At 47.5% G+C, this 9831-nt stretch overlaps 1 long non-coding RNA gene across 5 annotated transcripts in view, besides 3 other annotated features; it reads right to left on the bottom strand.

Annotated features, from left to right (window-relative positions):
- Nucleotides 86-235: a silencer, noted in NCBI's record as "silent region_15272". NCBI's record gives its function as "represses an Ori minimal core promoter by ATAC-STARR-seq in GM12878 lymphoblastoid cells {active_cell/tissue: GM12878}" and the evidence as "EXISTENCE:reporter gene assay evidence [ECO:0000049][PMID:35858748]".
- Nucleotides 246-295: a silencer, noted in NCBI's record as "silent region_15271". NCBI's record gives its function as "represses an Ori minimal core promoter by ATAC-STARR-seq in GM12878 lymphoblastoid cells {active_cell/tissue: GM12878}" and the evidence as "EXISTENCE:reporter gene assay evidence [ECO:0000049][PMID:35858748]".
- Nucleotides 356-435: a silencer, noted in NCBI's record as "silent region_15270". NCBI's record gives its function as "represses an Ori minimal core promoter by ATAC-STARR-seq in GM12878 lymphoblastoid cells {active_cell/tissue: GM12878}" and the evidence as "EXISTENCE:reporter gene assay evidence [ECO:0000049][PMID:35858748]".
- LOC124900660 (uncharacterized) overlaps nt 1422-9831 on the bottom strand; it is a 31530-nt gene continuing 23120 nt past the window's right edge. For 4 of the 5 annotated variants that reach the window (XR_007058015.1, XR_007058016.1, XR_007058017.1 and 1 more), the window contains 2 exons: nt 6734-6969; nt 1422-1686 (listed from right to left, as the gene is read on the bottom strand). This is a non-coding gene — a long non-coding RNA (uncharacterized LOC124900660). Of the gene's footprint in view, nt 1687-4899; nt 5267-6733; nt 6970-9831 lie in introns of those variants that run through there. The other variant, XR_007058018.1, reaches the window with a different exon arrangement.

The raw sequence follows: 9831 nt of genomic DNA, 5'->3' as shown, positions 1-9831 counted from the left end.
GCCGGGGCGGGGCGTTGACTATGTCGTAGCACATGACCAGGCGGTGCTCGGACTCTGGGAGGCAGAGCTTAGGGAGGGCCGACGTGGGGAGGGGCCCAGGGTCCGGGAGGCGGGTCCGAGTCTGGGCTGCGGGCTACGCTCAGGAGGCGGGCCATGGGGGTATGGCCAGGCGCTGCTCGGGCCCTGGGAGGCGGAGCTTAGGGAGGCGCCGGTGTCGGGAGGAACCCAGGGACTGGGAGGTGGGTCGGGGCTGGGCTCAGGGGCCGAGACGGAGCTGGGCTTGGGGCGGGGCCGAGACGGAGCGAGGGGTCCAGGGTGTGGGAAACGGGGAGGGGTTTGAGGAGGGAATCGGAGTGTGGCTCACGTTCGGGAGGCGTTACCTGCGGAGGGTTTGAGGCAGGCCCAGGAGCAAGGCCATGGTCGGCCGAGGCGGGGCCAGGGGCGGGCCCTAGGAGCCGGAGCTTTGGGCGGGGCCGAGTACGGGTTTGGGGCCCGGGAGGCGGGGCCGGTTAGGGCAAGGGTCCCTGGGATCGTCGAGTCAGGCCTTGGGCCAAAGTAGACACTCTCGCAGTTCCTCCGCCTTCAGGAAGGTCTTTTTGGCAGGGGCCTTATGGGTGCGCGCTTCGGTCCTGGAGGCCTTATCCCAGCCGCCTCTCCATCAGCGCCACCCGTCTGGGGCCCGACAGGAGGGAGCTTTCCCTCTGTCCTCCAGCCTTTGGACTGTCACCAAACAAGCCATTCGTTCACCAAATACTTACTAAGCGCCTACCATGCGCCTGGCAAGGCAGATGTAACAGTGAGAAAAACTAGGTGTGGTCCAGACCCTCCAGGGTCTCAGGGGCTCGTGGAAGAAGTGGACATTGAAGTACTTATGATACAAATGAATATAAAAGTACAATAGCGATATCTGCCATGAAGGTGAGCAGACAGAGCTAGCGGGGCTTCCAGGAGGAGTTTTGATCTTGCAGGGACAGGAAGGAGGAGTTAGCTCCTGCGGGGTGGGATTAGCGGTGGTGGTGATATAGACTTGGGGACAGAGTGGAAAACAACAAAAATATAATTATTTTAGTTCAAAGTTATTGTGTCTTGAGTTGAAAGGCAGGGCAGTTAGCAACACAGTTCATATTTCAGTACTGCCCCTGAAATCTGAACTGTGTTCAAAGTCTAAAACGTTTACCTTAGCAAATGCCTCATAAAACTCCATTTGGAAGAGTCCAGAGAGCTAATTTGTTGAGTATACTTGCAGAAGGTAGATGAGGAGACAGATTAAATCTTATTACCTCTTTCAGATGAGAGGCACTTGAGCCCTGCTCAGCTATGAGAATAAGAGAGGGGAATTAATTCTAATTGAATACACTTGTTCTCTCATAGCTGTTGTTCCCCACCAGAACCAAATGAGCGCAAGATCTGACAAAGAAAAAAAAGGTTCATCTTTTATTCTCCCAAACACTTTCATTTAAATCAAGAGGGTGGGATGTGGTTATTGCTGTGCTTTTAGACAGAATCAACGGTTTCTGGGTCTGAGATATTGCATATACCCTCTCAGTCCCTGTATCCTGAGATGGAGTCACCTGAGAATCCACAGCAAGTCCTAACCAGGGATGGGTCTGCGTGGTTAAGGAAGGTTGGCTTCAGAACTGGGCCAGGGGCACTGCTTTGCTTTTGCTGTTTTGATCAGCTCTCTGCCTGTAGGAGACAAGGAAAACCAATGGGAACAGGTTAGTTACACTCATAAATCCTGGGCTTATTTTACTAACTCACATAATAGCTATTAATTGCCTTTCTTCCAAGGAGCAAAAGGGTATATACGGTCAATGCCATAGTAAGTAACACTGTATTATGTTATACTAAAATATTAATAAATCTAGGTTGGTTCAGTCTTTCCTGATTCCATAGATTGGAAGCGGATTGAGGAAGGACGCTAGCGGACCACAGAGCTGAGCCATGCACACAGAAGAAACCTTTTTTTTTTTTTTTTTTGTGAGACGGAGTTTCGCTCTCTTGTTGCCCAGGCTGGAGTGCAATGGCACGATCTCGGCTCACTGCAACCTCCACCTCCTGGGTTCAAGTGATTCTCCTGCCTCAGCCTCCCGAGTAGCTGGGATTACAGGCGTGAGCCACCATGCCGGGCCATTTTTGTATTTTTAGTAGAGACAGTGTTTTAACATGTTGGCCAGGCTGGTCTCAAATTCCTGACTTCAGGTGATCTGCCCGCCTCTGCCTCCCAAAGTGCTGGGATTACAGACGTGAGCCACCGCGCCCGGCCAGAAGAAATCTTTATCTTGGTGTGCGGGCTCTGATGAGGGACAAATGTCATCTATCTTGGACCTGAATCTGGAAGGATCAAGGCACTGAAGGGATTTTTTTGTTTCAGACAGTCTCCCTCTGTTGCCAGGCTGGAGTGCAGCGGCACGATCTCAGCTCACGGCAACCTCTGCCTCCCGGGCTCCAGCGATTCTCTTGCCTCAGCCTCCTGAGTAGCTGGAACTACAGGCACGCGTCACCACGCCCAGTTAATTTTTGTATTTTTAGTAGAGACAGGTTTTCACCATGTTGGCCAGGATTGTCTCAATTTCTTGACCTCATGATCCATCTGCCTTGGCCTCCCAAAGGGCTGGGATTACAGGCGTTAGCCACCATGCCCGGCCTCACTGAAAGGATTTTTTTAATGTCACGTGGCTCTCACAGGTGCGGTGTGTTCGGGTGCAAGTGAAGATTATGACTGATGCTTAAAACCAAACGTAAAATTCCAGGTGGTGTTGCTATGGGAAGAAGCATTAGAACAATCTGAGTGGTTTCAGTTGCAAGTGTGTGTCTATGTGCAAGAACTACAATCAAGATTCAACTTCTGGCTTTGAGGGTCTCTTTAATAACAGTAATAGCAACCTAAGGCAGTTTAACAGTATGGAATGATTGCCTTTTAGAAATTAAGCTATGGGCATGGAAGTTCAATCAGTACACTGAAGTTTTTCCTTTATCTCTCCTATGGTTAATTGTTTCTGCAGAAAAGGACCAACTGATTTCTTTCTAAAACGTTGCTTCAGGGTGTAGAGACCTTTATAGGTCCTGTTTCAACTTACAGAAAATTTTTATAGTTCAAATATAAATTATGTTCAATGTGGACTTTGTAATAGGATTTAAGGTTAAGTAAAGTTTCCACTTTCCTTAGGCTGTTTGCAGTGCCCAGCAGGCCCCATGATATCGAGATGGAAGTTATGTTAAAGGAGGAGATTGGTCAGGGATGGGCAGAATAAGGAATATGGGCAGCTCAGGCTAATGATACAATGATTGAGGTGTAGAAAGAGGGTCAGGCATGGGATAACGCCTGTAATCCCAGTGCTTTTGGAGGCCAAGGCAAGAGGATCGCTTGAGGTCAGGAGACCAGCCTGGTCAACAGAGTGAGACCTAATCTGTACCAAAAAAAAAAAAAAAAAATTAGTTGGGCATGGTGGTGTGCACCTGTAGTCTCAGCCACTTGGAAGGCTGAGGTCAGGGGATCCCTTGAGCCTAGGAGTTTGAGGCTGCAGTGAACTATAATCACATAACTGTACTCCAGCCTGGGTGATAGGGTGAGGCCCTGACTAAAAAAAATTGAGTCAGGGAAAAAATTGGAAATCTCAATCCTCGGTACCCAGGAATGTGACCTTATTTGGAAATAGGGTACTTGTAGATGTAATCAAGTAACGATGAGTCATACTGGATTGGGGGCTGCTGTTGGGGGGACAGATGCAATCACTGGTGTCCTTATAAAAGAAGAGAATGAGTGCCGGGCATGGTGGCTCATGCCTGTAATCTCAGCACACTTTGGGAGGGTGAGGTGGGTGGATCACTTGAGGTCAGGAGTTCGAGACCAGCCTGGCCAACATGGTGAAACTCCATCTCTACTAAAAATACAAAATTAGCACTGCGTGGTGGCGGGCACCTGTAATCCCAGCTACCCAGGAGGCTGAGGTGGGAGAATCACTTGAACCTAGGAGGCAGAGGTTGCAGTGAGCCAAGATTGTGCCACTGCACTTCAGCCTGGGTGACAGAGGGAAACTCCATTTCAAAAAAATAAAATAAAGAGGAGAATGTCAGGTGAAGACAGAGACACAGGGAGAAGGCAGCCATGTGATGAGGGAGGAGAGATTAGAGCAATGCATCTACAAGGAACACCAAGCATTGCCAGCGGCCACCAGAAGCCAGAAGAGGCAAGGAAGTATTCTCTCTTACATGTTTCAGAGGAAGCGAAGCCCGGCTGACACCCTGATTTTGGACTTCTAGCATTCAGGCCTGCGAGACAATACATTTCTGTTGTTTTCAGCCACATGCGGGGCCCTCGTTGTTGTTGTGGTTGTTTTTTTTTTTTTTTCTGGAGACGGAGTTTCACTCTTGTGCCCCAGGCCGGAGTGCAATGGCGCGACCTCGACTCTCTACAACCACCTCCTCCCAGGTTCAAGAAATTCTCCTGCCTCAGCCTCCTGAGTAGCTGGGATTACAGGCATGCGCCACCTTGTCCAGCTAATTTTTGTATTTTTAGTAGAGATGGGGTTTCACCATGTTGACCAGGCTGGTCTCAAAATCCTGACCTCAAGTGATCCGCCCGCCTAAGCATCCCAAAGTGCTGGGATTATAGGCATGAGCCCCCACGCCCGGCCTTGTGGTTATTTTTTTAGACAAGATCCCTCTGTGTCATTCAGGCTGGAGTGCAGTGGTACAATCTCAGCTCCTGCAGCCTCGACCTCCCTGGGCTCAGGTAATTTTCCCATCTCAGCCTCCAAGTAGCTGGGACTACACGCTTGGCTAATTTTTGTATTTTCTGTAGAGATGGGATCTTGCTATGTTGCCCAGGCTGGTCTCAAACTCCTTGGGCTCAAGCCATCTGCCTGCCTTGGCCTCCCAAAGTGCTAGGATTACAGACATGAGCCACTATCCCTGGCCACCCTTGTTAAAAAATAAAGAATTTCAAGATGGTGATGGCAGATTATTAAACCACAGTGGGGACTCTTCTGTGTCCCTGTGGGACTGTCCAGGTTGCAAACCCATGAAGCTGGCCCTGGCTGCTGGGTTCTTGGAGTGCTGGACCTCCTGTGGCATGTGGCAAGGAGTTGTCATGGGTTATCATATGAATGATCAACTACAGGAGACCCAAAGCCCACTCAGTCCTTTTTCCGATGAATGGCTGTGTATGTCACACTAGCAACAAACAGAACCGCAAGAGCTCCTGTGACAATGCTGAACCCGATCACTGCACCTTGCAGAGCAGATGCCATCTGTACCTCCGCTCCTGTTAAGAAACCAGAGGGTTTTTAATTGCCTGATTTTTAAGAGGTTGTTCTGGTTGCTCCTGGTTCCCTGGGAAGTTTCCCATCTAGCCGCCAGTGAGTATTCATTATGGAAATGAAATGTACATTTAACCCAAGAAAATGCTCACTCTAGAGAAATCTCATAGGGCAAGTCGTTGAAAGCCGATTTACTAAATGACCTTTTCACTAAATGACCCATTTGCCTAATGAACAATTTGCCAAGTGATCAATTTGCTGAAAGCCAATTCACTGAAAATCTGTTTGTGGGATGTCCTGCTTATCAGTAACTGACAGTCGGACACAGCTTATCCCAGGCTCCCAATGGGATGTGGGACAGGGGAAGGGCTACAAAATAGTTGTAGAAAAACTCCAAAACTTAAAAAGCAGAAAAATCCTCCATAATTTGGTGAATTAGTCATTCATTTAATTAGTTTTCCACAAAAGGGACTGCTTCCTGTAGGTTGGAAAGGAGATCATGGGCAGTGGCTTACAAGAAGAGAAAGGATGTGTATCACCCCTGCCCTCCCCTCTTTTCCTTTTTTTTTTTTTTTTTTTTTTTTTTTTAGAGGCAGGAATTGGAGTCCCGTAGCACAATCATAGCTCACTGCAGCCTCAAACTCCTGGGTTCCAGCTATCCTCCCACCTCAGCCTCCCAGTAGCTGGGACTACAGGCATGTGACACTACACCCAGCTAATTTTTTGTAGAGACAAGGTCTCACTATGTTGCCCAGGCTGGTCTCAATCTCCTGGCCCCAAGTGATCCTCCTACCTTGTCCTCCCAAAGTCCTGGGATTACAAGTATCAGCCACTGTGCCCAGCCCTACTCCTTTTTGCATGTAATTGCTTTAAGTGCTCATTAGATCACTGGACAGTGTCCAAGTCTCTCCTGGTATAAGGAAAGATAACCAGTGTTTGTAAACACAAAAGAAGGCAACAGCAAATTCTGAGATGGTTTTATTCTTCCTTTGTATCACCCAGATTGAAGGGGTTTGAAGTCTTGAGAATTTGCAGTCTCATTTCAGACTCTCCCCTCTCCTTTTTTCAGCATCGAGGGAACAGCAGGGTTTTGCTCCTCCCCTATGAACAGCTTTCTGTGCTATTGAAGGAGGGCTGATTTCCATATCTGGAAGGGGCATCTTGGGGGCAGACTGTACACAGTGATTTCCTGAGGACCGGAAGGATTACAGCCTGACTTTATAGAGCACCTTCCCTTTGCCTAAAAGACACTATGTAAAATGTTACCAGCAGGTCGAGGGATTCCCTACCTCCCCTGCTATCTGTTTGGAGCTATTGGCATCTTGTTCCTGGGGCTCCAAAGCTGCTGGGAAACAGGATTGTTGTGCTTGAATTCCCTCCTCCCCACCATGAGACCCCTTTTTGATTCTTTTCTATCTCAGGACAGAGCAGACTATGCTGACAGTTTTCTGGCAGCTGCTTTTGTGTCTCACCTGGCTGCTGGACATAGGAGTTCACGAGCATTTCCTGGGTGACTGCCAGGGAGCTGTTGTGGGTTTGGGGGTGACTCCCAGGAGCTTACACATGAATGGGTAGATGTGGATGCCATTAAAAGGCTCGGCCAGGCGATTCCTCTTGAAATCTGGCCCGAAAGCTCTGAATATGGTCTCATATCCATGAGGACATTATCAAAGCCACGGCTGCCTTTGTTGAAACACATTATAATTCTCTGAAAAATAATAACAATAAAAAAGCCATTTTAGGTTCCAATCCACTGAAAGAAAACTGTCCCTTAGTTAATGTCATGCTTGTTGAATCCATGAAGTCTTTGAGAATTTAAACTACAAGGACACTGCTCTCGGTGGTGGTGGAGAGAATACCGAGGATTTAAAGGTCTTTAAGAAAGAGAATGTAGAAAGCGTACCCATTGGAAACAGCAAGATGATGATAATCTGAATGCTTCATAAATATATGTTACCTCCTTTACCCTCATGGCAGCCCAGTAAAGGTGCCATTCCCCATTTTACAGTTGGGGAAACTGAGTTACAGAGCTTTTCTGCACTAAGTCATCAGGAGCAAATGCTAGATCAGGTAATTGAACCCAAGCAATCTGGTTCCAGAGCCAAATAGATGTATTTTTTATGGTATAAATACATATACATATACTTTTAGGGGAAGGGTGGGGGTAGGATGGGATGAGGATTCTGGGTAATTGCATGGTAAATGCCAAATACCTTTCTTGTCTGTGCCTCTTTTCAAATGATAAAGTAATGTCAATTGCAACACTTTTTTCTATTTTTGAGACAAGGTCTAGCTGAAGTAGAGTGATGCAGTCATAGCCCACTGCAGCTTCAAATTCCTGGGCTTAAGCAATCCATCTACATCAGCTTCCCAAGTAGTTGGGACTACAGGCCCACACTACTATGCCCAGCTAATTATTTTAATTTTTGTAGAGATGGCAGGTGGTGGTGGGGGTGTCTCGCCATGTTGCCCAGGCTGGTCTTGAACACTTGACCTCAAGTGAACCTCCTGCCTCAGCCCCACAAAGCTCTGGAATTATAGCCACTGTGGCTGGCTACAATACTATTTATTTATATTTTAGACCAACAGATATTCTAGCATATAAGAAATATGATGCTCTCTGTACATTGAAGAGTTGGTCTAATATTTGGCCTGGTGCATACAGAAATTGCCTGTCTGCTCCGCTCTGGTTGAAGAAACCAGTCCGACTGTCTCTGAGGCTATGGAGCAGTCCATCAAGAATGAAAGCCCTCTGTCAGGCACGTTTTCTCACACCTGTAATACCAGCGTTTTGGGAGGCCAAGGCAGGTGGATCACTTGAAGTGAGGAGTTTGACACCAGCATGGCCAACATGGTGAAACCCTGTCTCTACAAGAAATAGAAAAATTAGCTGGGCCTGGTGATGTGTGCCTGTAATCCCAGCTACTCAGGAGGCTGAGGCAGGAGAATCACTTGAACCTGGGAGGCAGAGGTTGCAGTGGGGAGCTGAGATCACACCACTGCATTCCAGCCTGGGCGACAGAGTGACACTCTCTCAAAAAAAAAAAAAAAAAAAAAATGAACGTCCTCATGATGGCCTCAAGCAGGTTGGTCCCTGAAGAGAGTCAAGGAAGGCCCACTTTACTCTGCACTGCAAAGCAGGCAGGTGGACAGGATGAGAAGTGGATTCAGTGAGAGACATTGACCCAAAGGATTTTCTGGCTAATGGTCGGTTCAGCAGAATATTAAACTGAGCACAGCATCCTGTTCCCTCAAACCATCTGGCTGGTCAGTGGGGAATGTTCTTGTCTCGTTAAATGTCCTCATGCTACTGTCAAGATACCCTGTTACAAAACGTCATAAACCAGGTTTATGGGCGTGGGATTGGTGTGCAGTAATCACAGTGTTCCGGGCCACTTGAGGGATAAAATATACCTTAGGTGATAAACTGTTGTATTTTAATGTGAATATTTCCACCAACATTCAACAGTAACCCCATGAGTTTTCTCATACCTGTTACACTCTGGAGTTGCAGCAAGCTAACATGAAGTAAGTGGTAAACATAATGATCGCATTTGGCTTCTATTCACAGCAAGGGTTCTTCAAGCTGTACCTGGGGCAGTCTTCCCTCACATGAGGTTTATAGCATCATTTATTTAATTATTTATTTATTTTTTGAGACGGAGATTCGCTCTGTTGCCCAGGCTGGAGTGCAATGGTGAGATCTTGGCTCACTGCAACCTCTGCCCCACCAGGGTTCAAGCGATTCTCCTGCCTCAGTCTCCCGAGTAGCTGGGATTATAGGCACCCGCTACCACGCCTGGCTAATTTTTGTATTTTTATTAGAGACGGGGTTTCACCATGTTGACCGGGCTGGTCTCAAACTCCTGATTTCAGGTGATCCACCCGCCTCAGCCTCCCAAAGTGTTGGGATTACTGGCGTGAGCCACAGCGCCTGGCTATAGCATCATTTAAACTTTGTTTCTGCCATGAATTGTTAGTTGGTAGTTAACAAAAAATAGACAACCTCATTTATGTCTCACAGTTAGCATTGGTTTTTGTGTTTTCTTTAGGCTTGTTTTTTAATTGTTTTCAAAATTGTGAAACAGGGTCTTGTTCTGTTGCTGAGGCCAGAGTGCAGTGACACAATCTTGGCTCACTGCAGCCTCAACCTCCTGGGCTCAAGCAATCCTCCCACTTTAGCCTCCTGAGTAGCTGGGACTACAAACAAGAGCCACCACCGCTGGCTAATTTTTAATTTTTAATTTTTTTTTTTGGAAATGGAGTTTTGCTCTGTCTCCCAGCAGTTTGGAGTGCAGTGGCGTAATCTCAGCTCACTGCAACCTCCACCTCTCGGGTTCAAGCGATTCTTCTGCCTCAGCCTCGGCACCCACCACCATGCCTGGCTAATTTTTAAAAAGTATTTTTTGTAACAACAGGGTTTCACCATGTTGGCGAGTCTGGTCTTGAACTCCTGACCTCAAGTGATCCACCTACCTCAGCCTCCCACAGTGCTGGGATTACAGGCATGAGCCACCACGCCAAGCCTAATTTTTAAATTTTTTGTAGAGACCAGGTTTTGCCATGTTGT

Source organism: Homo sapiens, chromosome 4, assembly GCF_000001405.40.
Source record: "Homo sapiens chromosome 4, GRCh38.p14 Primary Assembly".
Lineage (NCBI taxonomy): Eukaryota > Metazoa > Chordata > Mammalia > Primates > Hominidae > Homo > Homo sapiens.
The sequence above is the reverse complement of the archived record's forward strand: the minus strand, read 5'-3'. Positions and strand labels throughout refer to the sequence as shown.